A 27,763-nucleotide genomic window follows, 5' to 3' on the forward strand; every position below is an offset into this window, starting at 1 on the left:
AGGTGCCCTCGCTCTCCTACCAGAAGCCTACTCTTGGCCTCCCGTTGCACCCGCAATCCACCCAAACTTGTCACCTGGCCGAGAGAGCCCCACCTGCTTCGCCAACATCATTTTGTGCCACTCTGCCTTGCTCCCCCATCCTCCTCCAGCTACACCAGTCCTTCTCTAAGTTTCTGAAGAGGCATCCTTACATCCCGCCTTTGTATTTGTGAGTCCCTCACCCTGGAATTCTCTGTCCCAGAGCTGTGAATGGCTGACTGGTTCCCTTGTCCTCAACCAAGGGTCTAACTGTCCATTCCCTTATCTTGCCTTATTTTTCTTCATAGTACTCATTGCCACTCGACATTGTAAATATATTCATTTTCACTTTATTGGTTGTTTCTTGTCTGTCTCCCATCTGAACATAAGCTCCATGAGAGTAAAACTTCATCTGTTTTGTTCACTGCTGAATCTCCAATGTGTCAGGGTGTTTTGCCCTCTAGAGTAAGCACCCAAATACTTATTGAAAGAATTAATGAATGACTAGGTATTAGCTAGGAACAGTATTTCAGAATGAACAACGCTCAATGTCACAAAATTCTAATCTGGTTTATTTTTGAAAATACAAGAGAGAAACATTCACAGCACCATTATCTGGGAGTCTAACATTATAAGGATTATTAAAGGGGCTTAGTATGAATTTTAAAGCCTAAGAACAGTTATATATTAAGAGGCAGAGTCCCACTCTGTTACCCAGGCTGGAGTGCAGTGGTGTGATTTTGGCTCGCTGCAACCTCGGTCTCCTGTGTTGAAGTGTTTCTTGCACCTCAGCCTCCCAAGTAGCTGGGATTACAGGCGCCTGCCACCACGCCCAGCTAATTTTTGCATTTTCAGTAGAGACGGGGTTTTACCATGTTGGCTAGGCTGGTCTCAAACTCCTGGCCTCAAGTGATCTGCCCGCCTTGGCCTCCCAAGGTGCTGGGATTACAGGCATCAGCCATTGCACCCGGCCTGACTATAATAATTTTAAAAGCTATAAAGCTTAATTAGAAGCCAGGCAGTCAGGAGAGGCCCTCTCAGAGACCCCGGTCCCGGTCCCAAACACCTTTACTTCCACACAGGCATGTGTGGTATGTTTTCTTTACATTTGATTTTCTTCCTTTTTTATTGTCTGACTCACTCTCTAAGTTTCTCAAGTCAGAGCTGTGACTCATTCAATCCCGCCTCCCCAGAATCTGGTATGCTGTCTGGCATATAATGATACTCAATATCAATAAATGTTTGCTGGTTGAAGAAATGGCAGTATCAGGCCAGGCGTGGTGGCTCATGCCTGTAATCCCAGCACTTTGGAAGGCTGAGACAGGCGGATCACGAGGTCAGGAGATCGAGATCATCCTGGCCAACGTGGTGAAACCCTGTCTCTACTAAAAATACAAAAATTAGCTGGGCGTGGTGGTGCGCGCCTGTAATCCCAGCTACTCGAGAGGCTGAGGCAGGAGAATTGCTTGAACCTGGGAGGCGGAGGTTACAGTGAGCCGAGATCGCGCCACGGCACTCCAGCCTGGCAATAGGGCCAGACTCCGTCTCAAAAAAAAAAAAAAAAAAGGCAGTATTTCCTATTGTAAACTCTAATCTACTGGGTCCAAAATATTGGACACTGTTGCCATATAATTAACATACCTGGCTGGGCGCGGTGGCTCACGCCTATAATCCCAGCACTTTGGGAGGCCGAGGCGGGCGGATCACGAGGTCAGGAGATCGAGACCATCCTGGCTAACACGGTGAAACCCCGTCTCTACTAAAAATACAAAAAATTAGCCGGGCAAGGTGGCGGCTGCCTGTAGTCCCAGCTACTCGGGAGGCTGAGGCAAGAGAATGGCGTGAACCCCAGGGGGCGGAGCCTGCAGTGAGCCGAGATTGCGCCACTGCACTCCAGCCAGGGCGACAGTGAGACTCTGGCACAAAAAAAAAAAAAAAAAAAAAATTAACATACCTAAGGTTTTTTATTTTGAGATAAGTAAAATTTGGTAACCATTTCTAATTTATTTTTAGAGATGGAGTCTCACTCTGTCACCCAGGCTGGAGTGCAATGGCGCAATCTCGGCTCACTTCAACCTTCACCTTCTGGGTTCAAGCGATTCTCCCGCCTCAGCCTCCCGAGTGGCTGGGATTACAGGCACGCGCCACGACACCCAGTTAATTCTCATATGTTTAGTAGAGACGGGGTTTCACCATGTTGGCCAGGCTGGTCTCAGACTCCTGACCTCAAGTGATCCACCTGCCTCAGCCTCCCAAAGTGCTGGGATTACAGGCATGAGCCACCACACCCAGCCTAGTTTTATTTTTAATAAATGAGAATTTTAGGAAAACTTACCATTTTTTTTAAAATAAGGGAAAACTGGTTTCTCACCCAAATCACATAAGTCAAAGAATTCTTCACTATAAAATGAACTTTGTTTCATAAAGTATGTATGAAAGCAAGTTACTAATATTTCAAACCATTTAAAAACTGCATACAAAGTTACATCAATATTTTCTACAAAACAAAAGAGCATTTAATTCCAAATGGCCTAATCACACCCTAGTTATAGAATTCAGGGTCTACTCCAGGGACATAAGTCCAAATATGGTTGGAATTCAGAGATCCTGCAGACTTCAGGATGTATCAGTGACAAGCGAAAAGCTCATCCTATCCTAAATAGAGTTTAAATTCAAAATCACGGTACATTAAACAAAACATTTTAGTGAATATATTAAAAAATTAAACGTACATATGCCAAAGAACAGAAGCACAACAGATGAGAAAACCCAAGAATACTCTAACATATGTTTTGGTCCTCTAGCACTTTAATCAATTGAATCAACATAAAATTTTAGGATTCCCAATATTTCTGTGTGAATCTGACACCAAAAAGGCAGCTGGAGAAACAGCATCAAGTGACAATATGGAAGACATAAAAATGGACTCTTACAGGCCAGGCGCAGTGGCTCACACCTGTAATCTCAGTACTTTGAGAGGCCGAGGTGGGAGTTTGAGACCAGCCTGGCCAACATGGTGAAACCCCATCTCTATTAAAAATACAAAAATTAGCCAGTTGTGGTGGCACATGCCTGCAATCCCAGCTAATTGGGAGGCTGAGGCATGACAATCACTTGAACCCGGGAGGTGGAGGTTTCAGTGAGCTGCGATCATGCCACTGCAGCCCAGCCTGGGCAACAGAGACTCGTCAAAAAAAACAAAAAACAAAAAAACAAAAAAACAAAAAACAAACAAACAAAAGGACTCTTATAATCTTGCAAAACCAAGAGAACTACAGGCTCTATAATAGCTAGGAAGTACACTAGGAAAATCTATAGCTAATGATAAGTATAATCAAATAGACTATGACTATTAAAAAGTGAATTATGAAAATGCTAAAAAAAAAAACTTCATCAAGGTGCTAAAATATCACAGTAATCCAAGACTTTTTGAAGAAAATATTTGTTCCTATTATTTCAGAATTATTCTTTCCAGAAGGCTTTTTCCTGGACCTGTGTCAGTATCAAAAGTCAGCCGGTTATTCTCTTAGCTAAATATAAACTGAAAAGACAGCAGTTGCAGGATATTACAAAGAAAATATGGCAACCAGGTTGAAAAAGCATGAATATTTGATAGAGCTTTACACCATGCCACAGTAAAACATTTAATGCAGTAATCTGAAACACAGCAACATATTAATATATTTGTGGTACAAAAAGGATTCTGAAGTCGTTTAAAACATCTTTTGGGAAAATCATGGCCACCAAGCAGCAGCTACCACAGCATGTCAATCTTGGAAAACCCTGGCCTAGGTCTTGAATTAAAATGGTAGAGCTGGCTGGGCGTGGTGGCTCACACCTGTAATCCCAACACTTTGGGAGGCAGAGATGGGTGGATCACCTGAGGTCGGGAGTTCGAGAACAGCCTGACCAAGATGGAGAAACCCCGTCTCCACTAAAAATACAAAATTAGCTGGGCGTGGTGGCGCATGCCTGTAATCGAGCTACTCAGGGGGCTGAGGCAGGAGAATCACTTGAACCTGAACCTGGGAGGCAGAGGTTGCGGTGAGCCAAGATAGCACCATTGCACTCCAGCCTGGGCAACAAGAGTGAAACTCTGTTTCAAAACCAAAAACAACAACAACAACAACAACAACAACAACAAAAAAAAAAAAACAAAAAAAAGGTAGAACCTCAGAGGTTTCTCCTGAAAAGAAAGCTGCTAGTTAAAAATGGTTTGGTTGCCCATTCAGGGAAGACAGTGAACTGAGCTAGGAATCTGATGCTGCTCCCACTTCAGAAAATGAGGAGGTATGGAAGGTGATGCACTGGGATTCAACGTCCCTGAAAACTGGACATAGAGCCATAAGCAAGTAACTTTTATTTCTGAGCAACCGCCCAAGTGTAGTCTGGCTGTCTAGTTAGCCTGCCCAGGAGATCTGTTCTTCTCCTTCTCTAGAGCAATGGTTCTCCAAGTTAGTCCCCAGACCTCATCGCAAACTCGCTAGAAATGTACATTCTCAGGTCTTCAGCCCAGAATTCCTGAATCTGAAACTCCAAGGTTGGGCCTAAGAATCTGACAAGCCCTCCAGGACTCTGAGGTATACTAGTTTGAGATCCATTGCTCTAGGGGAATTCTAGGGAAAGAATTAGTAGCAAGCTGTCATTCTTTACAGTCCAGCCACGTGACAACAGCTAGTGACAGAATGCAAGACCCTGTGTTCTGCTGCTAGGGTCAGTGACCAAGACCAAGCATCAGATTTTCTTTGACAAAGGGGGAAACAAGATGTGGGAAATGAGTCAGGACAACTGGAGAAGGGGAGGATGGTTAATTCTACGATCAAGTACCTCTATAAATACCACCAAATAAGGATAAGAGTTTCAGTTTTTTGAAAGGCTGAATAGCCACTTTTGCTTCTGCCCTATCGGATACATTGTTTCTCCACAAATTGTCAAATGTATCCATTTGGCTACATCAAAGAGATTCTGAATTAACTCACTGCAACATTCACAAATATTTACTGAGTACCTACTATTTTGTCCAGAACTGTGCTGGTGCTAGGGACACAACAGAAGTTGAGATAGAATCTTGCCCTAGTGAAAAGGCATAGAAAATATGCAACGAAACAACACTTCAGGTAAGGTTAAGTGCTTTAGAGAAACAGAACAAAACAAGAAGCTGTGACAATGACTAAAAAACTATTGAATGGAGTGCTCAGGGACGGCCTTTCTGGGTAGCTGCGACCTGAAGAACAGCAGTCAGGCCCATGAAGATCTGGGGACAGAGCAAGATCAGAGGTGTGTGACACCACATGAAGTCAAGGCGGCAGGGCCTTGTGGGCCATGGAAAAGGGATGGGTTATTCTGTAATAAGAGCAGTGGGAAGGGCTTGCTGAAGGGGAGTGGCAGTTTCTATTTTACGTCTGTGAAAGATCATTCTGTCTCCTGTATAGAAAATGGAAAGGGCAAGACTGAAAGCAAGAGGCTTTTTCCATCTTCCAGGCAAGAGAAAGACGGTTCTGGTTAGATTAGGATGACAAGAGTGGAGACAGAAAGGAGGATTTGGCATTTAGTTTGGGGTTACACCTACTGGACTTGTGACAGGGTGGATGTGAAGATGAGGAAAGACTACTACTTGAGAGGTCACTGCCATCTACCCATGAATAAGCTAATCAGCCAAGGCAGAAATAACAGACATGCCAATGGCTGAAGATGCTTGCGAGGCCTACCTCAGAGAATAAGAAATGGGGGCTGGAAGAACGATCATCCGGCCAAGAGCACGTGTCCTGAAGCAACACCATCCCAGAGCACCCAGGCTCTGCACCTCAGGCTAGTCACTCCTCTCCTGGCCTGTTTCCTCACCTTCACAATCGATACCTGCCTCAATGGGCTGTTGTGACAAGTGAGATAATGTAGTTAATACAGTGTCTAGCACTTAGTAAACCCAAGAGTGCAACTTAAAAAGAAGTCTGATGGCTTGCATGTAAATAAGGATGAGGTACTACTTTGTACCTGCCATGATGGGGCTCCAAGCCCAAGAGGTGTGAGTCATTCAGTATAAAATATAAGCAAGAGCTTCCTGAAAAAAGGACCTCACTCTCCTTGGACAGCACATAACCCAGAAGAGGACAAACAGTGGCCAGAGATGCTATAAAAAGGGTTCCTGAAACGGGTAGCAGTAGACACTTCTTACTAAAGCCCTTTCTCTCTCCAAGATTAAACACTCCAAGACTTAGGAAGAACATATCCCTAAATCCATGCCTTTTCCATTTCCTGCAGGCTGGTGAGGGAACAGGAGTTAAAAATGCCTGGGCTCTAGTCCGAGCATCACCAGTCTCCCTTGGCTTTTGGCTCCTCCCTCAGTAATGTGGGTGGATACTGCCCCTGGCTGGTGACCAGGCTGTGGAGAGTTAGATGAGACAACATCACAGGTAAGTCGAAGTCTATGGGACACTCTAAAGCACTATCCACAATACAACAGTAATAGTATTCAAACATTTACTTTGCCAAATGTGCTGCTCTGAACTTCACTGTGCCCCTTCAAAATTAAGCAGAGGATTCCTGACTTCATATTTTGTATTCTACTTTTACCAAATTACTGCAGAGCTACAATTTGTGGGGAGGTGGGAGGGATAGAGATATGAAGAGAAAAGAGAATGTGGTGGGGGAAATAGAGTGGTTTTCAGTTAACATGAAGGGGGAAAATCATGATCATCAAAATTAACCTTGGTAATCCCTTAAGAAAATAATAGCTTGCAGCCCGGCACGGTGACTTACGCCTGTAATCCCAGGACTTTGGGAGGCTGAGACGGGCGGATCATGAGGTCAGGAGTTTGAGACCAGACTGACCAACATGGTGAAACCCTGTCTCTACTAAAAATACAAAAATTAGCCAGGCGTGGTGGCGCGTGCCTGTGATCCCAGCTACTCAGGAGGCTGAGGCAGGAGAATCGCTTGAACCTGGGAAGCAGAGGTTACAGTGAGCCAAGATCACGCCACTGCACTCCAGCCAGGTGACAGGGCGAAACTCCGTCTCAAAAAAAAAAAAAAAAAAAAAGCTTGCACTAGCCCAACAAAGCCAGTTTCCCCTCCATCACTGGAGCAGGCTGCTATTTCTTTGGCTGAGCACAATATGAAGCTGTTCTTTGAATGTAGGGCCCATGTTGTACAAAAGGCACTTAATTACAATTGGCATAAGATGCTCACACAGTGAGACATACAGGAACTGAGAAGAACTAAGGGACTGTGAGTTTTCATCCATTTCCAGCTCTCTCTGGGGAAGACTCTTGAATGGAAGGGAAGACTAATCTCTGCTGCCCACATGGTTAAGTTTTTATAAGCTGAATGTGCATATGAGGCCACTCCGATGTATGCAAATTTAAAATCATGCCCCACCAGGGCTTACCCCTCTGGCACTCATTTTCTGATTAAATGTCAGGGAAGCTCGTGGGCTGCTGAGTGAGAGGAAGGGCCTGGCAACCAAGGGCCACTATTTGATGTGCTGCAATCCTGGCCAAGGCAGGAGGAAGTCACCCGTCATAACATGGGGATTCTGAGGATCTGTGGTGGGCTTTTCACAGTTCCACCCTCTAAGACATATGTAGATATCACACATTGCAGAACCAAAGGAAGTGGGAAGGTGGTGTAGCCAAATGCTGAAAGCAGTGACCATAAAAAACTAAGTTCAGCCCTTACAGGAACTCAAAGGCTTCACAGCTGTTTCCTGGCAACCGGAGGCACAGATTAATCAAGAGCCTCACTCTAAACCTGACTAAGGAAGGCCTCTGGGCCCTGACCACACCTGGAAGACTTCTCAGGGTTAGAAAGCAGAGAGGCCTGTACACTCATTTTAGTTTACCCCAAGTAAGGTCTGCTTTACTCTTAGCACCCTGCACTCTTTTCACTGCCTAGGGACGAAGGTCAGATCTTATCATACTCCTCTTTTTAAGACTCTTATTCATTCATTCAACAAATATTTACTGAATGCCTACTTCATACCAGACACTTGTTTGATGGCTTCCCCTCATACCATCTCAAATCCAAAGCCATGTCTCTCCAACTCATCTCCTTAACAAGCCTTGCTTGCACATGAAGGCCTTTTATCCTGTTATTTCAACATGCCAAGCAGAGTCCCACCACAGGGCCTTTGCACTAACAGCCCACTCTCTCTCCTGCCTGTGACACTGTAGGGTTAGCTCTTTCCATTATTTGACTCAGCTGAAATGTCACTTTCCTGACCACCTCTCCAGACACTATCACATCACACAATTTCCTCCATAGCACTTACTGCTATCTGAAATTGTCTTATTTACTCCTTAACAGCCTTCTCTCCCTGACTTGAATGGAAGCTCCCGAAGGATACAGACTATGTCCATTTTGTTTGCTATCCACGATGGGACATAATAGGCCCTCAGTAAATATCTGTTGAATAAACAGACAAAAGAATTTTGGGAAGTCCATTTTAGGGCACCTCAAAGCCTGTCCTATGTTATCTAAACCATGCCAAGTGCTCTTGTATTCCACTAGACAGCAGCTGACATTTTATCTGATCACCATAGCCATTTATGAAGCACTCACTTTTTAACTGTCAGGGTCTGGAGAAGTTAGAACCGGGCAGCTGTTAACCCAGATTGTAGGTAGCCAACCGAGTGACTGCAAGCAGGGCTGAGCTGCAACAGCACCTTATTGCTGGCTACCACCAGCACACTGGGCCCCTTCGTTTATTACGACCCGGTAGGAGTGTTATTCTGGTGAGAAGTTTTACCCAGCAGTCTGGCCTGACTCAGAATCTCTCTTCTGGGAGTGCCTGGGGCAGCGTCATGGTAAATGAATTGACTCAGCACTGTTCCAGCTGAAACCAAAATCGAGTAAAAGGATTCATGGTCTCCGCTATTCTGCAAGAAGACCCCACTGTTTTAAACTCAAAAGGCAGCAGCTTGTGGTGGGTCACTTCAGTCAGATCCCCCACATTCAATTTCTTTTATTCCCACCCCAACCATCAGGCAAGTATGGCTCCTTGAGACCGCAGAGTAGCAACATTTATAAAGAATTCCCCTCACCCTATTTCCCATGGATCACCAATTCCTTCCCAACACTGCCGCTGCTGTGGCCTTAAATATGCCAATGATTGCTGTACTCAGGCTGGTGTCCCTGCAGCCCCACAGTGGGGAACACTGTGGCCCTGTTTGCTTCCTCCATCAGAGAGGTAACCCATTTTCACCCCATCTGAGAGAACCTCCTTGGCCAACTTCACTGCCAGGCACCTGAGGGTGCAGCCTCACCCAAGAGTTCCCATTTCATCTATTCACCTCCCTACTCCCATCAGCCAGTGGGGAACTTCTGAGCTGAACCCACATATCTGTCCCAATTATTAAAGGAGTCGATGAGAGTGAGCGTCTCCACAGAAGAGACACTTCTAGGATATGCTTCCCTCACTCAATTCAAAAAGAGGAGACTTTTCTCCTTTACAGGAAACATCTCCGGAACCCGACCTTTTCCACTCCCTCATTTCAGGGGCTTCCCTCAGTTGAATCCCCACTCCCAAAGAGACATCCTCGGGGCTCCCAATTCATCTGTTCTCCCTCATCCAATATCAGAGGCTTCCACCAACTGCCCCACTCGGACCTTGTCCCCTGAAACCTAACTTGAAGCAATCCATCTGTATCCTCGAACAGGAGACTGGTAATGATGGGGTCATTTCACTATCACCGCTATTAGGTCCCTCTGGCATCTGAATCCTTTTCCCTCCTCTCACTTATCATGCGGAGACCCCCTTCATTCTCCCCAAAAGCAGCTGCTCCAAGGCTCCTCCTTTCTAGTCAACATAGCTATTTCCTCAGCTAACCCCATCTCTAAAACTAACGCCGGAGCCGTTCCCTCAACCGATAGGGGATCCTCTCAAGTCACCCCCTCAGGATCCCGTTTCTTCCATCCAGCCTGAAGGGCTTCTCTGATGTCCCCTCCAGACATCCCAAGGCCCCTCTCAGCCGCACCCCTGGCACCCAGTATGGGACTTCCATCCGCTGTGGGGCGCCTCCTCTAGGGGACCTCTAGATCGCCCCTTAAGAGTCGCCAGCCCCGGTATCCTCAGGAGTGCCTCGGAGCTCGCTCCTCGCCCACTCCGGCTCCCCCAGACAGCACAGAGGGCCCTCACGCCTCCCGGGGGAGCCTCAGGGCCTCGCCGCGCCGCCCACAGGCCCCTCAGCCCCCCGCCCGTGCTTCCGGCCACCGCCTGCTCCTCCTCCCCCGGTCAGGCCGCGCCGGTGGCTGCCGCGGAGCCCAGCAGACAGAGGCGGCGCGGGGACCCTGGCTCCGCTGCAGGAGGCTTTGAGGGTCCCCGGCCCCCGGCCCAAGCCCATGCCCCCTCGGCCGGCCGGGCCCGGCGCCCCCGCTCACCCGAGCCCGTGGTGGCTGCCATCTTGCGTCGCTCTTGCTTGAAGGCCGGCCCCTTCTTCACCCCCCCCTTACCCGTCCCCCGGCCCTGATGCGCAGGCGCGCGCGCACGCACATACGCCGCCGCTGACGCCCGCCCCGGAGACCTGCACGACCCGTGGCCTGGAAGGCTCTTTTCCTTCCCTTTTAGAGAAAGGAAATATCTGCGTGCTCGAGGGCCCAGCAACCTGCAAGTCCCCACACATCGGGTGCGAGGGAGGTTGTGATGTGCTTAGTGAGAAGGGCAGGGGTGACTAGGCTTGGGAAGGCGCGATTGTGAAAGAAAAAGAAAATATAGCTTCAAACAAAAGCGCCGAATTCGCTTGGGGCTTTTTCCTGTCTAGTTCCTATCTAGATCCTCACCACATCTCCGCAAGGTCAGAATTAATGTGAAAAATGCAGCCGAGAGAGATCAAGCGATTTATCTAAACTCAGCTGTTAAGTGGCAGAGACAGGCAGAATTTTAACCTCCAGGTTCAAATTTTTTGAATCATCACCCTCCAGGTCAGATGATCTGGCTCCTAGGATTGATGCTCCCCGGCCAGAGAAGGCTTGGAGTGGGTGCAGCTAAATGATTTAGGGGCATTAAGGTGGCAGGGAAAGCATTTGCTAACCATCTACCCAATTCATTCATTCATTCATTCATTCATTCGTTCATTCATTCATTCAACCAAACAAACAAACATTAAGCACCTACTATGTACCAGACACTGTGCTAGGCGCTGGGGATGGATAGACATCTCTGAAGAAGCAAATCCCTGCTTTCAGGGACTTACATTCTAGTCGTAGACAGCAAGTAAATAAACAGGAAACTATAATTCTGATAGGGTAGAGATAAACCAAGACAAGAGCAGCAGAGGATGGTCAGGAAGGGCCTCCTAAGGTGGTCATATTTCAGCAGAGACCGTAACAATGAGGAGGTAGAGGGAACAGCTTGTGCAAAGGCCCTTGGGAAATATTTTTGCAAATAAATAAACCCAAGAAGGTACTCCTCCTTTATTATAAATTGTCTGAGAAGCCCTTATATGGATGTAGACACTGAGGCTGAGAGAGGTGAAGGGACTGGCTTAAGGTCACAGAGCAAAATACTGGCAGAAGGACCAGGACTCTAAACATAGAGGGACAAGGAAGCTGGAAGCCCTCACCCAGCACATCCAATTCATCACCTTTGTCTGATAGCAGTGCCTACTCTGCATCTCTCCACTCCGTTCACTTCTCCACTCAGGGCAAGCTGCCTTTATCTCCCACTTGGAAGACCCCAGCAGCTTCCATTCTCTCCCCTATGGCCCATTCTCCATATAGACCAACATCTGCTCAAAACACCCTCCAGCTAAAGCCTTCAGTGGCTCCCCATTCCCTCTGGATAAAATACAAACTTTACAAGTTGAGCGACCATAGAATTATCACCTAATGAGGACACACATCAGATTAAAAGGGGACTTATTATAATCTCACCAGGACAAGTGGAAACCAGGGCTCTCCAGGGCAAAGCAGGATGCCTGGACACCCTGTGCACCAGGCTCTGCACCCAGGGCAGGGACGAGGATGGGGTGGTCAGATTTAACGGGGCTTTCACTCAGGTCCTGACTCCGCACTTGCACAGCGCTGCAGGTGAGTGACTCCTTAAAATCTGCACCCTAGGGCAGGGCATGGTGGCTCACACCTGTAATCCCAGCACTTTGGGAGGCCGAGGTGGGCAGATCACCTGAGGTCAGGAGTTCCAGACCAGCCTGGTCAACATGGTGAAACCTCGTCTCTACTAAAAATACAAAAATTAGCGGGGCGTGGTAGCACACACCTGTAATCCCAGCTACTCGGGAGGCTGAGGCAGGAAAATCGAGCGAACCCGGGAGGCAGAGGTTGCAGTGAGCTGAGATTGCACCATTGCATTCCAGCCTGGGCAACAGAGAGAGATTCAGTCTCAAAAAAAAAAAAAAAATCTGCACCCTAGGTACCCCACTTGCCTCACCATAGCCTTGGCACAGCCTGCGCCTCTGAGACTTTCTGTACCTCTGCGGCGACACTGGCCCTTTGCAAGCCCCCTGGAACACATGCCCTCTCCCACTTCAGGGGCTTTGCCTGTGCTGTTCCCACTCTTCAGTTCTCAGATCCAGCACCATCCCCTCAGGGAAGCCTTCCTCGATTCCTCCAACCACATCAAATTCAGCTATAATTAGCTCTCAAAGTGCCAGCACTGGCTACAGGTGAAGCAACTTGACTTTTCGTGTATCACGTGATACAAGTTTGCTTTGGGGAGCACAGAAAATACTTGCCCTGGACTTGGGGTCACTGTAAAGCATCAGTAGCAAGTGGAAGCATTTGGGTTCCTAAGGTGGACTCACCTTTGCAGTGAAATTTTCTAGGTTCAAGTCTTCCTTCATCACTCAGTTTGCTTTGTGACTTCAGGTAAGACGCTTGAACCTCTCCTGGCATCAGTTTCCCCTTCTATGAGGATAGTAGTATCAACCTCATAGGATTGCTGTGGAGATAAAATGCTTTCCTAAAACCCCTTGGGCACAGGGAAGAGGAAGGGACACTAGAAGAGCTCATAATTACCAAGCCGTTACATCCAACTTTTAATCCTCACAACTCGATGCAGCAACTCCTGTGAATATCCCCATTTTTAGAGATGAGAAAACTGAGACTCAGAGCTAACAGGTGGAGAGGATGAGGATTAAAACACAAGCCTTTTATCTATGGTGCCCGTAAATGTTTACTCGCATGGATTCCTTGGCTCTTGTAGGAAACTTCTTGCAAGTAAAATTGACAATAATAATTCCCGTGCCGAGCTCATCGCAGGAAGAGGTTAGGCGGGACAGCCCGAGGCATGCTGGTTGTTGTAGTCTAGCGTTGGCGCAGTGCCTGATGGGAGTTGTAGTACGTCCCGCGCACACGCTCCCTCGAAGAGTTTCTGCCCCATTCCTGGACGTCACAGCCGGTCCCCAGAGCAGGATTCCTTCCGGCGCCTGCGCCTGATCACCGCTCTGCGCTTGAGCTGATAAACTCAGCTGATGGGATAAGAGTCTTGTTTTATCGGATTTTGGGGAAGATTAAAATGGTTAATAGAACTAGAGAATTTAGAAGAGGGCTTGGCACTAAGTGCAATATAAGTATTAGCTGCTATTATTACCTAATCCTCAATGAACCTTGCAAAGTAGCTGTTACCATTTCCATTTGTGAGATGAGAAAACTGAGACTTAGAGGAGTTAGATGGCTTTTCCAAGGTCACACAACAAGGAAGGAGTAAAATCAGTTTTGGAATCCAGTTCTCTTTACCCTGTGTCACCCGCTGGCTCTCCCGTGATGAGGGAGGTGGAGCCTGGGAGGTTTTGAGCTAAATGTGGGCAGGTTTGCCTTTTTACAAAGTGCATCGTGCTGCCATGAGGAGACAGGGCGAGGACACCCAATTGGGCAGCAGCAATATTGGTAGCAGGGAACCCAGAGAGAAGGTGTATTGGGCATGTTTACCGCCATTCCAGTCGCCATGGCCCCACATGGCAAGGTGGGTGTTTGGAAACTTTCCCTCCCCTCATAAAAGCTGAAGAGAAGGTTGGGCGCCCTGGTTCACACCTGTAATCCCAACACTTTGGGAGGCCGAGGCGGGCGGATCACCTGAGGTCAAGATTTCGAGACCACCCTGGCCACAATGGCAAAACCCCGTCTCTACTGAAAATACAAAAATTAGCCGAGCTTGGTGGCTCAGGCCTGTAATACCAGCTACCCGGGAGGCTGAGGCACGAGAATCGCTTGAACCTGGGAGGCAGAGGTTGCAGTGAGCCAAGATCGTGCCATTGCACTCCAGTCTGAGCGACAGAGCGAGACTGTCTCAAACAAAAAAGCTGAAGAAAAAGCCTATTTTTGTCCCCTTTCCTCCTTCCTACAATATGAGGTTGTAATGGTTAGAATTAGAATCCTGGGTGATGTGGCTGAGCTGCTGAAGGAATTGCAGGGCTGCCCAACTGCAGACATCTGAAGACATGAGATAATGTGCCTGTTGCTTAAGTTGTTCTTAAAGGTAGGTTTTTGTTACCTACCACCAAAAAGCATACCTAATAGATACAGGAAGCTGACGCAGTGGTTCGGTTGAGAGGCATGTAGACCTGACAGATCCACAATGTCCATTCGTGAACTCTCTTTTCAAGTGGGAAAACACTAGGGCTGGTTTGGAATCTCTGGGATGTAAAAGGCATGAGTAGTTTGAAAAAGTATATTCAAAAGGTGAAAAAACAAAAATTATATAATGTTATCCACAACCTTCAATTTCCTATTTATAGTTAAGGAACCCCCCCAACCTCGTGCTACAGTTTTTGTAGCATAAGCTGCAGAAAGTAAAGCTGACAAACTGTCGACAGGAAGGACTGTGGACTTGCAGAAGACAGAGAGGAGAAGGGATGTGTGGTTAACAGAGTGTGTGATGAGGCCGGGCATGGTGGCTCACACCTGTAATCCCAGCACTTAGGGAGGCCAAGGCCGGTGGATCACCTGAGGTCAGGAATTCGAGACCAGCCTGGCCAACATGGTGAAACCCCATCTCTACTGAAAATAGAAAAATTAGCCGAGCATGGTGGCTCATGCCTGTAATCCCAGCTACCCGGGAGGCTGAGGCAGGAGAATCACTTGAACCTGGGAGGCAGAGGTTGCTGCAGCATTGCACTCCAGGTTGGGCAACAAAGCGAAACTCCATCTAAAAACAAACAAACAAACAAACAAACAAACAAACAGGATGTGTGATGCATTTGCTAGTGAAATTCTATGGCATTTATGTGGAGTCATGGCTCCCTGAGGTGTGTCTAGCCATGGCGCTGAGACATCTTATTTAATGTCTGATGTAGTTTCCGAAATATACAGTCAAAAAGCGGTGGGGATGGGTGGGCAGGGGGTCTTGGTGTACTTCATTAACTCACTCTATCAATGGACATCTAAGTTGTTTCCATTGGCTTCTTCTGATACAATTTTTGTAATGTCTTAATTTTGTATTATATGTTACTTCTGTGGTCAAGGAAAAAGGAATGAAAACTGGGGTTTGGGGCAGGGAGGTGGGGGGACAAAAAGGATGTTTCCTTAACGTATAAAGAGCCCTTGAAACTCATTAAGAAAAAATAACTCAAAGATGACAGTTACAGCAAATATTTATTGAGCATTTGCCATATTCCAGGAACATGGTATTTTGCATATAATAATGTATTTAATCTTCACACCTATCCTATGAGGTAGGTACCATTATTATTCCCATTTTGCAGGTGAGGAAACTGAGACACAGAACGGTTAAGTAACTTGCCCAAAGTCACAAGCTTGTAAGTGGCAGAACTGGGATTTGAACCCTACACTCTTAACCAATGCTACCCTCCCTTCCAAGAAAAATAGGAAAAGGACATGAACAGATGAGGAAATGCAAATGCATTTTAAACTCACAGTAAGATACCCAATCTCACAAAACATATTGTATTTCAGTGATTTGAAGCTATACGTTTTTACTTTTTTTTTGTTTTTTTTTTGAGACAGAGTCTCGCTGTGTCGCCCAGGCTGGAGTTCAGTGGCGCGATCTCAGTTCACTGCAACCTCCGCCTCCTGGGTTCAAGCAATTCTCCTGCCTCAGCCTCCCAAGTAGCTGGGATTACAGGCACCCGCCACCACACCCAGCTAATTATTTCTTTTGTATTTTTGGTAGAGACGGGGTTTCACTATGTTGGCCAGGCTGGTCTTGAATTCCTGACCTCGTGATCCGCCCAAAGTGCTGGGATTACAGGCGTGAGCTACCACACCCAGCCACATTTTTACATGTGAACTTCTGAAATCAGGATGCATCTTAGAATCAGTGACATCTTAGAATCAATGAAATACAGTAAGAGGAATGCAAATTAAAACCACCTATCAGATTGGCAAAGAACAAAACATTTGATAACACGCTGTGTTGGCAAGGGTGTGAGGAAACAGGGACTCTGAAAACTTGTGAACTTAAACCGGCATGGCCTCTGGAAGACAATTTGGTATGCACTATCAAAATTTAAAACACACTCGTGGTTCAAGCCTGTAATCCCAGCAGTTTGGGAGTCTGAGGCAGGAGGATTGCTTGAGCACAGGAGTTTGAGACGAGTCTGGGCAACAAAGCAAGACCCCCGTCTCTAAAAATAATAAAAAAAAATTAGCTCAGCATGGTGGCATGCACCTGTAGTCCCAACTACTTGGGATGGGAGGCTGAGAGAGGATAGCTTGAGCCCAGGAGGCAGAGGCTGTAGTGAGCTGGGATTGCACCACTGCACTCTAGCCCAGGTAATAGAGCAAGACTTTGTCTCAAAAAAAAAAAAAAAAAAAAGTCAAGTCCATTCCATCCTGAAGGTGGAACACTATGCAGCTGTAAAAAATAATAATGGTTTGTGAACATTAATGATAACACTATCTCCAAAATATATTAAGTGAAAAAAGGCAAGGTGCAGAACTGTGTGCATAATATCCTACATATTGTGTGAAAAGGAGTGGGGCAGACATACCCCTCTGCCTACATAAGGCATTGCAAGTGTCTTGTCAAAATGATGGCCTCTAAGGAGGGGAACTGAGTACCTGAGGGAACATGAATGGGGAGCAATTTACCCTTCATTCTAGACTAGGGAGAGGTTGGTAACTTTTCTCTGTAAAGGGCCAGATCGTAAATATTTTAGGCTGTGTGGACCACGTGGTCTCCGATGCAACGACTCAATTCTGCCACTGCAGTGCAAAAGCAGCCTCGGACAATATGTAAATGAGGGGCATGGCTGTGTGCCAATTCAGCTTTACAAACTGGAATTTGAATTTTCTGTGTTAGGAAATATTGTTCCCCCTCCCCCAGCCATTTAAAAAATGCTCGTGGCTGACATGGTGGCTCACACCTGTAATCCCAGTGCTTCAGGAGGTTGAGGTGGGAGGATCACTTGAGGCCAGGAGTTTGAGACTACCCTGGGCAACATAGCGAGACCCCATCTCTAAAAAAAAAAAAAAATTAGCTGGATGTGGTGGTGTCCATCTGTAGTCCTAGCTACTCAGGAGGCTGAGGTGGGAGGATCACTTGAGCCCAGGAGTCTGAGGTTACAGTGAGCTGTGATTGTGCCACTGCACTCCAGCCTGGACAACAGAGCAAGACCCTGTCTCTAAAAAACAAACAAACAAACAAACAAACAAACAACCCACAAAAGCTTCTGAGCTATAGAAAAGCAAGTGGCTGGATTTGGCCCACTGTCCAGGGTCAGCTTATCCATACTCTAGCCCTGTTTATATTATTTGATATGAGCCACTGTACCCGGCGTGATTCTTATTCTTTACCTATGCAAGCATTACCTATTGCTTATATAGCAATATATATATTGCTATATATATATATATACCCATATATATATGTGGGTAGCTTGAAAAATATTTTTGGTTTATCAAAGGAGGGTTGGCTGGGCGCGGTGGTTCATGCCTGTAATCCCAACACTTAGGAAGGCTGAGGTGGGCCGATCGCTTGAGCTCAGGCGTTCGAGACCAGCCTGGGCAACATGGTGAAACCCCATCTCTACAAAAAATACAAAAAGAAACTAGCTGGGGGTGGTGGCACATGTCTGTCGTTCCCGCTATTCAAGAGGCTGAAATGGGAGGATTGCTTGAGCCTGGGAGGTTGAGTCTGCAGTGAGCGCAGATCATGCCACTGTGTTCCAGCCTGGGTGACAGAGCAAGACCCCGTCTCCAGGAAAAAAAAAAGGCGGGGTGATGGAGTTTCAGTTGGGGGCAGGCGCCCAAAGGTATGTGCCCAGGCCCCTTCTAAAGAACAGTGAGCACACAGGGGTATGCAAGTTCACTACAGCTCCCCCGGTTGAGCTGGAAATCCATGTTTGCCCTGCATGCCACTACCCTGTGCCACCACCAGACAGCAGCACATGCCTACCTGAAACCAAGCCATCCCACAGCAGCTGGGAGGGAGGCTGCAGGCAGTTGGCCTATGCACTCATTTTGTTTTGCCCACAGTACGTTTTAAACACGGAGCCAGCATTTTTAAAGTTTAGATTTCTGGCTCCTGTTTAACCAGCTGCTGTGAGTAGCAGCTGCCCTTTAGGCCTGATGTCTCCAGGTCATCCCAGTCCCCAGCGTCAGCGGCCCTTTCTCAGGCATGCTGCAGTTGCCTCATAGTGGACACATTTCTCACGTGCCACCTGTCTCACCTCCCTCTCCACAATGGGAGCGTTAAAGCACAGGGGCTTTGGGTCAGACGCTGGCTCAAATCCTGATTCTGCCACCTACCAGCTGTGTGACCTTGGGCATATTACATGACCTCTGTGCCTCAGTTTCCCCATCTGCAAATGGTGCAAAGAGTACTCACTTCTCAGAGCTGCAGGGACTGCTTGACAGGACCCATGCCAGAGCTCTCTGCACAGTCTGGTGCAAAGTTAAGTGCTCAGTAATATTAAGTAGCATTTTCCCCTGTCTGGCCCTCATAGGCACTTGTTTGCAAGTCCCTGATCTCACAAGTGGCCCCAACACTCTCAGACCCAATGCAGCGCACCTTCTGGTTTTGAGAAGGATTTTTTTCCAGCCCCCAGAATTCAGAAGTGAAATGGTCTGAGTCTGAGGGCTGCTCTACCCTTACTACCTGTGGGACCTTGGGGGAGTCACTTTACCTCTCTGGACTCAGGCTGAGGGTTTTTTTTCTGTCGGCTCCAGGGGAACTGACACAGATTGGTGGGGCCTGGAAACCAACACCACAGTGGTGAGGCTACTCCTATGGCCTCTAAAGAATTTAGCTGCCTGTCCCATCCACCATTGACTTCTTTTTGTAGTAATGCCTTAGGAAGAGGTGATCACAACCCTGCAAATCCAGATGGACATTTTTCAGCCCTGGGCAACCAGAGCATTTCACCCCACTGGCCAATGTGATTGGTTCAGGGATGGGCACGTGACCCAGTCCAGACCAATGAGAGCCTGCCCTGGGACTTCCACTGCAACTACTGGGAATGCACTTTCCACTGAGATTGCTGAGCTGGTCTAGTAAGTCTCAACTCAAAGAGAAAAACAGAGCTTAGAGAGACCACGTTTTGATGAATCATGTGAGCCCCTGGGTCCTGCCAAACCTTAATTCAGAACACCTGTAGACTTTTCCGTTTTATGAGCTAATACGATTATTTTAGCTGTTTACTTTAAATTTCTGTCATTTATGAGTTGTCGAATTCTAACACCCTTCCTTGTGTGGTCCCCTCAGGCATAGTCACAAATCAAAAGTCTAGTTGGCAAAGGAAAATGGCATTATGGGTCACGTTTTAAAAAATAAATGTCATGGCTGGACGCAGTGGCTCATGCCTGTAATCCCAACACTTTGGGAGGCCAAGGTGGGTGGATCACCTGAAGTCAAGAGTTGGAGACCAGCCTGGCCAACATGCTGAAACCCCATCTCTACTAAAAATACGAAAATTAGCCGGGCATGGTGGTGGGCGCCTGTAATCCCAGCTACTCAGAAATGTCATTATCTGTGACTGCTCTGGAGTCCTTTAGGCATTTCCCTGTCCCCAACAGGCTTTCTTTTTTCTGGCTAATATTGCAGAAACTATCTAGCCTAGACTAGCTATTGACTATGTCTGTAGCGTTCACTACAGAATCGCAGTACCTAGTTCATAGGAGATGCCTTATAATTACTTATTCAACAAATAAACAAGTTACTAATTGGTCTATAATGTCCTGACCCGGTGCAGTGGCTCATACCTAAAATTCCAGCACTTTGGAAGGCCAAGGCGGATCACTTGAGGCCAGGAGTTCAAGACCAACCTGGACAACATAGTGAGACCCCATTTCTTTAAAAAAAAAAAAAAATAGCCAAGCCAGGTGTGGCGGCATGTGCTAGTCCCAGCCACTCATGAGGATCGTTTGTGTCCAGGAGTTCAAGGTTGCTGTGAGCTATTACACCTCACCTCTGCACTTTAGCCTGGGTGACAGAGCATGACCCTGTCTCTAAAAACATAGTAATAAATACAAATAAATAAAATGACCAGCAGGTCCCCACTCACCTCAGCCTATGAGTCTCTGTATACCAAATCCATGTTTTCCCAACCTTGTCTTCCATTTTTCCTTAGCTCACTCTAGTCCAGCCACAGTGGCTGCCTCACCATCTCTTAAAATCCCAAGCTTGTTCTTTTTTTTTTTTTCTAAGCGAAGTCTCGCTCTTATCCCCCAGGTTTGAGTGCAATGGCTCGATCTCGGCTCACTGCAACCTTCACCTCCCGGGTTCAAATGATTCTCCTGCCTCTGCCTCCCAAGTAGCTGGGATAAAGTCGTCTGCCACCACGCCTGGCTAATTTTTGTAAATTTTAGTAGAGACAGGGTTTCACCATGTTGGCCAGGCTGGTCTAGAACTCCTGACCTCAGGTGATCTGTCCGCCTCAGCCTCCCAAAGTGCTGGGATTACTGGCGTGAGCCACTGTGCGTGGCCCCAAGCTTGTTCTTGCCTCAGGGCCTGTGTACTTGCTGTCCCATCAAGAGGCCTCTTCCCTCACTTCTTTCGTGTCTGACCTCCTCTCCTCCCCCAGGTCTCAGCTCAGAGGCCCTTCATGACCACCCTGCCAAAGCAGCACCGACCCTGCTTTTCCGCTGTGGTTCTGTCCTGTTTGATTTTCTTCACAAATCACCACCTGAATTTCCATGTGCATTTATTTGTTTATTGACTCTTTTCCCAGGAGGTCAGCTCCACCAGGATAGGTCTTTGTTGGTTCTTTCACCGCTGTACCTGTGTACAGGACAGAGCCTGGCACACACCAGGTGCCAGTGAATATTTGCTGAAGGAAGTCACAAATAGGGATCAGCCATCATTACTTTATCATCATGATCAACAGGAAAGACCACTGTCCTCACCCAATCCCCTCCAAAAGGCTTTGGAGCAGATGTCAACATTAATTCACTGTCTCAGGTGACAGCTCTCATCCTGAGGCCAGGGTTGGGGGGAGCTGGGAATGGGGCGAGAGTGGGGCCTCACGTCCCAGGCTCCTTGATACCCCCCACCCCACCCAGCCAGGAAACACCACGAGGCAGCCAAGGTTAAGTAGACTCTTGCTGCTTTGTTATAAATATATTATGTACATCCAAAACATGACATTAAAATATTACTCCGTGTTACAGAAAAGATATTAAGGCTTTCTATTATTTACATTAAACAAGCAAGCACCTTTAAAAAAAAACAAAACAAAAAAGCCCTACTCTTCCTTCTCTGACATACTCTGGCCAGAGGGGATACCGTGTCCTCTTCCAAATGACCAAGATGCTCTGCAGGGGCTGTGCCCTGTGAAGACATCTTGGTATTGGAAACATCAGCTCTGGCAGGGTGGGGGCAGCAGAGAAGTAGGGGTCTAGACTTGAGCAGGAGGTTCCAGCCTCTTCTGGCCGGCTACCCTCAGACCCCTGCTGAGCTTCACCATCCTTGGGGGACAGGCTAGGCTGAAGGTGGTGGCTGGGGCTGTCCACCTGCCCAGCCTCCCGGGGTCAGTATGCAGGGCTGTGGCAGAACAATGCTCCACGACGCTTAGGTGTGCCTGGGGGCTCCCCAGACCACTGGGGCCAGACAAGGAGGGAAAGAGGCAACTCACTGGCCCCAACGCCAGCCACACTGAAGGGCTGCCCAGCGGGGCAGGGACGGCAGGCGTGCAGGGAGTGGGTAAACCTCCTCTCTACCAGGGGAGGCTGGCAGAGTCAGGCTTGCAGATAGAGCAACTCAGGTGGCTGAGGAGGGGCCGAGGAAAAAAAAAAAAAAGAAATGAAAAATCAGTGGCTCAAGTATTCTGTGTCATGAGGGGTGGGCTGGGGTACCTGGGCCCAGCCCAGGAGATGTCCTCTCCATCTGGAGGGGCCAGCTCAAAGAGGCTGGAATTTGGCAGATGGCTTCGGTTTGGGGGCTAGGGAAGGTTGGCAACCAGGTAGCAGGCTCGGAGAAGTTATTTGATCTTCTGGGCCCATTTCATGTCATCTGCCCGAGGCTTCTCGCCCGTCAGGCCCTGGATGAGGTCCTCCAGGCGTCGCCAGAAGCCTATCTTCTCCAGAGGGTAGTTGAGCCAGCCTGCAGTAGAAATGGCAGCGGGAGTTTGAATGGGAGAGAGTAGTCAAGGGGACATTGGAAGAGAGCTGACCTTCACTGGGCTGGAGGGGCCCAATGAGGAGTGAGTCAGTACAGGATAGGACACAGGGACCGGCCAAGGAACTGGAAGTGGGGGCCTCCCACCAATGGGCCTGGGGCCACTCAGGCCTCCAACCCCCATATTCCTCTACTTTCTTACTATATACCAGGCACTTACTTATATTTGAGCACTTACTATATACCAGGCACTGTGGTGGCCTTATCACTCAGCTCAAATGCTACCTCTGCCAGGAAGCCTTCCCTGATCATCCACTTAAGCAGCACCCCAGGTTTCTCACATTACCCTTTATCTATCTATCTATCTATCTATCTATCTATCTATCTATCTATCTATCATTTATCTATCTATTTATTTGAGACAGAGTCTCACTCTGTGGCCAGGCTGGAGTGCAGTGGGGCGATCTCGGCTCACTGCAACCTCCACCTCCCGGGTTCAAGTGACTCTCCTGCCTCAGCCTCCGAGTAGCTGAGACTACAGGTGCACACCACCATGCCCAGCTAAGTTTTGTATTTTTAGTAGAGACTAGGTTTCACCATGTTGGCCAGGATGGTCTCGATCTCTTGACCTCGTGATCCACCCGCCTCGGCCTCCCAAACTGCTGGGATTACAGGCATGAACCACTGAGCCTGGCTCTATTTACAATTTTTTTAATGCAGATGGGGTCTTGTCTTATATAGGCTGGTCTTGAACTCCTGGGCTCAAGCAATCCTCTCGCCTTGGCTTCCTAAAGTGCTGGGATTACACGCGTGAACCACCATGACAGGCCACCCTCTTTCATTTCTTTATAGCCTTTATGATAACCTGTAACCATCTTCGTTAATTCTCTATTTTCCTGTTCTGTGTTTGTTCACCCCCCAATCCCCAACTGGAACGTTATCCCCAAAATGCAAAACACCATGTTCTTTCACTGCTGATCCTCAGTGCTTAGAATACAGCCAGGCGCAGAGTAGGTGCTGAATAAATATTGCTCACAATCTTACAGCCTTCCAGCTCACCATGAGGTAGATACTAATATCAGTCCCATTTTCCACATGAGCACACTGAGGCTTAGAGAAGAGTTTCCCAATTAGCAGGTGGCCAAACCAGGATTGGAACTCAGCCCTGCCTAAGTAGTTAACCCATCTCCTAAATAGCCTGAATTCTAATCCCTCCACCTGCCTTCCAAGGAGCACAAATTGAGGACATGAAAAAGAATGTTTTTTTGTGGTTCTCAGTTCTGTTTCCAGAAAGACCTAAAAAAAAATAGTAGCTGTAATTTATCAAGTACCTACTATATGCCAAACACCGCATTTGCCATTCCCACTATGGCCCTAAGAAGGTGATATATGAAGGAGGCGGCTGCAGCCCTATTTTGTAAGGAGAAAAGCGGTCCCCAGGGAGGTTTGTGAGTTGCCTAAAGGCACATGTGGAGAAGCTGAGAGTTAGGCCTGAGTTAGACTTGACAGCACCTGATACACTTAACCTTGAAAGCAGCCCAGCTGGCTCCAGAGAAACTCCCAGTTCACCTCACCTCTTTCGCACTGGCTGCTAACTGAGCATGGCACGTGGGCCTCCTTTCCCTTCCTCCACTGCACTGGGCATGTTCCTGCCTCTGGCCTGCTGCTTCCTGTTACCTTTGCTCTAATCTGTGCTCATCTATCTTCAGGGCCCTCCCACACTTCTCTCCTCCCTCTTCAGTTGCTCTGCCCCCTTCTCTCCTCCCTCTTCCACTGCTCTGCCCGCTTCTCCCTCTTCCATTGCTCTGCCTCAACTCCAGTCAGGAGCCTCTTTGCCATTCCGGAAACACACCAAGCAAGCAAAGGCCAGCCTCAGGGCCTTCGCACCTACTGTTCCTGCTGCCTAGAGTGCCTCCCACAGAGGTCTGCACGGCTTTGTCCCTCAGCTCCTCGGGGTCTTTGTTCAAGTGTCACCTTCCCTGACCACCCGATTTAAGAGGCAAAGCCCCCACTTCCTTCTCCCACCCCTGCTTTATTTTCCTCCATAGCAGTTAGCACCATTAGCCACGCTACACATTTTATTCATTCGTTCCAGCTCCCTCACTAGATGGTGAGTGCCACAAGGGCAAGGATCCGTGTTTTCTGGTTTTTTTTTTTTTTTTTTTTTTTTTGAGACAGTCTCTGTCACCTAGGCTGGAGTGCAGTGGTGCGATTTCAGCTTACTGCAACCTCCACCTCCCAGGTTCAAGCAATTCTCTTGCCTCAGCCTCCCGAGTAGCTGGGATTACAGGTGCCTGCCACCAAGCCCAATTAATTTTTTTTCGTATTTTTAGTAGAGATGGGGTTTCACCATGTTGGCCAGGCTGGTCTCCAACTCCTGACCTCAAGTGATCCACCCGCCTTGGCCTCCCAAAGTGCTGGGATTCCAGGCATGAGCCACTGCGCCCAGCTGATTCATGCTATTTTGTTTGCTGCAGGAGCCTACGCCCAAAGCACCATGGCATGTGGTAGGTGCTCAATAAATACGGGATGATGGGTGGCTGGAATCACAACGCCATGAAGTCGAGGGAGAGGGCTTTGTCAGTCTCATTTACTGTGTCCTCAGCACCTAGAATAGTGCCTGGCACACAGTAGGTGCTCAATAAATGCATGACCTGAGAGACTGTTCCCAGAGGGCAAGGACTGTGTGACCTCCTGCTGTGATCTCTGCCCTCCTGACCTCGAAGATGGTGCAGTGGCTGGGGTGGGGAAAGCCCATTCCACGCCACTGGTGGCCGCACCTGTGGTGATGCAGAAGTAGGTCTCGTGGGGTGAGACGTGGTGGATGCGATGGTGTTTACGTGGCAGGATGACATGCCAGTCCTGCAGGAGGGTGACCCAGCGTGGCAGCCCAAAGTACGTGTGCGACCACTTGTGGATCTGGTTGGTGAAGGTGCCGAAGATGATCAGGCAGAAGACGAAGCACTCCCAGGGGTATAGCTGCTCCAGGGCTTCTGCAGGTTGGGGAGAGGGGGGGCCGGCACAGCTGTCACTCGGGACGGGGAACCCACCCCAAATGGCCCTCACCACCTGCTCCTGGGCGGCTCCTGAGCTGGGCAAGCACCCAGGATTCTCTTCCACCCCCTGCAGGGCCGCAGGCAAGCTCAGGTGCTGCCCTGGGCTTCAGGCTTTCCTCCTGCTCAGGAAGCAGGCGTAATGGTGTAATAGGATAATGGCATAAGCATGGCAATGGCTGGGAATGTAGACCGGAGTCAGCTGGAGCTGGGTTCCGATCTCTGCCGACATTTCTTGGCAGTATGGGCTGGATCGGTGACTCTGCCTCTAAGAAGCTTAATTTCCCCATCAGGAAAATGGGAATGATGCCTTCACCCAGGTTCCCTAGAAGCGGAGCCTGAAACAGGTTCTTGTGCATGTGATTTATCAAGGGAGCCTCTTCAGGAAAAAACCTCGAAGGGAGGGAGGGAAGCAAGACACGGCAGGGGAAGAGCAGAGCAAAGATGGGGTGGGTGGCGTCCTGTCTCAGTCTGTTCCTGCAAGGAGCTCTGAGGTGTTAACGGCTCTTTAGAATTAGACCCACTCAGAGGCAAAGGGACTAGCGTCGGAGGCGTTTCAGTCACTGGCTCCAGCCTTATCCCAAGGAGACAGGTGGGACCTCCCCTCCATCCCTGGAGAAGCTGGGAGCTGTCAGCAGCCACCACTCACAGAAGCAGGGGCTGGGTGCACCCCCAGGGAAGGGGATGGGCAGGGTGCCATAGCACCCACTACACTACACGTCCTCACCACCTCTACCCACCGGAGGCTGCCTGAAGAACAAATGGGTGTTAAGGTGCTGGAACAGGACCGGGCCCCAACCTACCTCCACCTGACAGATAAGGCAACTGAGGCTCAGAGTGGTGAAATCACTTACTTTGGGACCAGTCCCTCTAAAAATAGGCAGGCCCTGTTTTCACAGCCTAGACATTTTCCACTAGGCCACGGTAGCAAAACCCCAGAAGCCCTGCCAGGCAGGTAACACAAATGAACAAGGTGGGTTGGGTGCAGGGAAGCAAGGAATAGTGGGGACGGTGGTAAACTGGAAAGACGCGTCCTGTCAAAGGCAGTGGCTGCAGCTCAGCTCCCACCCAGTGAGGCCAGGTGGGAACATGGACCCAGGGGGGCCAGAGCAGATTGTGCAAGAGAAGCTGGAAACCTCCATCTTCATGTCAGGTTTCCTGATTTTACATGAAGACAATGAATGAAAACTCTTTTAAAATACCATAAGGAGCCAAACACATAAGCCCCAGAAGGCTCCTGGGGGTCGGCCTCTGCCCCCAAGGCCCCCTCCCAGCCCACCACTAGCTGGGTGTCTCACCAGGGCTGTGGGTGCGGAACTTGTAGGCCATGTTTAGCAGCGGCAGCAGTGTCACCAGGCAGTTGTCCCCGTTGGTCTCGATGAAGTCGTGCCGTGTGATAGCTGTCGGGTCAATGTGGTGCTCCCGGAAGGGTCGGATGAAAGCCTGGAGTTGAGGGGGACACAGCCCCAGCAGTCAGCCTAAGGTGGTCAGCTGCTCTCCACAGCCCCCTAAACACATTCACCCTGGGCTCACCTCCCGCCTTTGATCCTAAGTTTCCTCCACCCGGGATGCTTGAACATTCCCACCTGGCCCACTGCCAGACACAGACCCCATCCAGCCTTTGGGGAGATGAGCCGAAATGACCCTGGAAGGGCTTTGGGTTGGCACTGTCTGCCTCTGGGCCTCAGTCTCCCTACCTGTGCTGTAAGGGGGCTTGGAGACAACCTCCGCCCTTCCTCCCCACCCCAAGGCAGTTGAGGAGGTCCCTCTAAGTAAAAGGTGGGACCCTCTGGACCCCCTGCACCTGCTGGGGTAACAGCCTCCCCTCCTTAGTCCAGGCTCTTCTGACAAGGCTGACCTCGCCCCGGGCTGAGAAAGAACACGTGACCAGGCCTGGCCAATCATAGCATCTCCTCCCTCTAGCCAGTGACTGCCTGAGGGCCCAGCACGTGACCCAATCTGGGCCAATGGGAGTGAGCCGTGGGACTTCAGTTGGCGGAAACTACAGGGAAGGAGAAATGCTGTTCTCCTGGAAGGAGAAGGACAGTTCTCTTTTCTTGGGAGCTGGAAGGATGGATCTCTGGGCGGTGAGAAAGCACACTGGCCACCTTATGAGGGGAAAGTAGAGATAGAGATGGAAGAAGACTGGGCCTGAAGAATGTGGTCTGTCGGTCCTACTGGATGCAGCCATTCCTTAATTTGGCTCTAACCCTGAAATCTTCAGTTACAT

General features: G+C 48.7%; 3 protein-coding genes across 23 annotated transcripts in view, besides 4 other annotated features; all 3 read right to left on the minus strand.

Moving 5' to 3' along the window:
- Positions 1 to 13,243, minus strand: part of UBE2V1 (ubiquitin conjugating enzyme E2 V1) — a 34,834-nt gene extending 21,591 nt beyond the window's left edge. For 9 of the 19 annotated variants that reach the window (NR_047554.2, NM_001257395.2, NM_001257396.2 and 6 more), the window contains exon 1: positions 10,393 to 10,436. Coding sequence is in view for 9 of the 19 variants with exons in the window: in NM_001257395.2 (NP_001244324.1) it covers positions 10,393 to 10,414 (22 nt within the window). In the remaining 10 variants the exon portion in view is untranslated. Of the gene's footprint in view, positions 1 to 1,659; positions 1,778 to 6,258; positions 6,398 to 8,574; positions 8,849 to 10,392; positions 10,437 to 12,770 lie in introns of those variants that run through there. The other 10 variants (NM_001257394.2, NM_021988.6, NM_001282575.3 and 7 more) reach the window with 6 other exon arrangements.
- PEDS1-UBE2V1 (PEDS1-UBE2V1 readthrough) overlaps positions 1 to 27,763 on the minus strand; it is a 72,600-nt gene that overhangs the window by 21,591 nt on the left and 23,246 nt on the right. Inside the window, exons 4-5 of the mRNA NM_199203.3 lie at positions 26,832 to 26,976; positions 25,261 to 25,473 (exon numbers count right to left, since the gene is read on the minus strand). Of these exons, the coding sequence (NP_954673.2) occupies positions 25,261 to 25,473; positions 26,832 to 26,976 (358 nt within the window). The remainder of the gene's footprint in view (positions 1 to 25,260; positions 25,474 to 26,831; positions 26,977 to 27,763) is intronic.
- Positions 9,964 to 10,503: a silencer, noted in NCBI's record as "silent region_13013". NCBI's record gives its function as "represses an Ori minimal core promoter by ATAC-STARR-seq in GM12878 lymphoblastoid cells {active_cell/tissue: GM12878}" and the evidence as "EXISTENCE:reporter gene assay evidence [ECO:0000049][PMID:35858748]".
- Positions 10,674 to 10,783: an enhancer, noted in NCBI's record as "active region_18083". NCBI's record gives its function as "activates an Ori minimal core promoter by ATAC-STARR-seq in GM12878 lymphoblastoid cells {active_cell/tissue: GM12878}" and the evidence as "EXISTENCE:reporter gene assay evidence [ECO:0000049][PMID:35858748]".
- Positions 10,788 to 11,355: an enhancer, noted in NCBI's record as "H3K27ac hESC enhancer chr20:48730039-48730606 (GRCh37/hg19 assembly coordinates)". NCBI's record gives its function as "activates a minimal SCP1, AML or CMV promoter by ChIP-STARR-seq in naive and primed H9 embryonic stem cells {active_cell/tissue: H9 hESC(naive and primed)}" and the evidence as "EXISTENCE:reporter gene assay evidence [ECO:0000049][PMID:30033119]".
- Positions 13,207 to 13,363: a silencer, noted in NCBI's record as "fragment chr20:48732458-48732614 (GRCh37/hg19 assembly coordinates)". NCBI's record gives its function as "represses an EF-1alpha promoter that drives an FKBP-Casp9 reporter gene in an ReSE screen in K562 erythroleukemia cells {active_cell/tissue: K562}" and the evidence as "EXISTENCE:reporter gene assay evidence [ECO:0000049][PMID:32094911]".
- The window catches only part of PEDS1 (plasmanylethanolamine desaturase 1), a 35,470-nt gene continuing 23,246 nt past the window's right edge, over positions 15,540 to 27,763 (minus strand). For all 3 annotated transcript variants that reach the window (NR_027889.2, NM_001162505.2, NM_199129.4), the window contains 3 exons: positions 26,832 to 26,976; positions 25,261 to 25,473; positions 15,540 to 22,465 (listed from right to left, as the gene is read on the minus strand). Coding sequence is in view for 2 of the 3 variants with exons in the window: in NM_001162505.2 (NP_001155977.2) it covers positions 22,344 to 22,465; positions 25,261 to 25,473; positions 26,832 to 26,976 (480 nt within the window). In the remaining variant the exon portion in view is untranslated. The remainder of the gene's footprint in view (positions 22,466 to 25,260; positions 25,474 to 26,831; positions 26,977 to 27,763) is intronic.

The sequence above is a fragment of the Homo sapiens genome, chromosome 20 (assembly GCF_000001405.40).
Source record: "Homo sapiens chromosome 20, GRCh38.p14 Primary Assembly".
Lineage (NCBI taxonomy): Eukaryota > Metazoa > Chordata > Mammalia > Primates > Hominidae > Homo > Homo sapiens.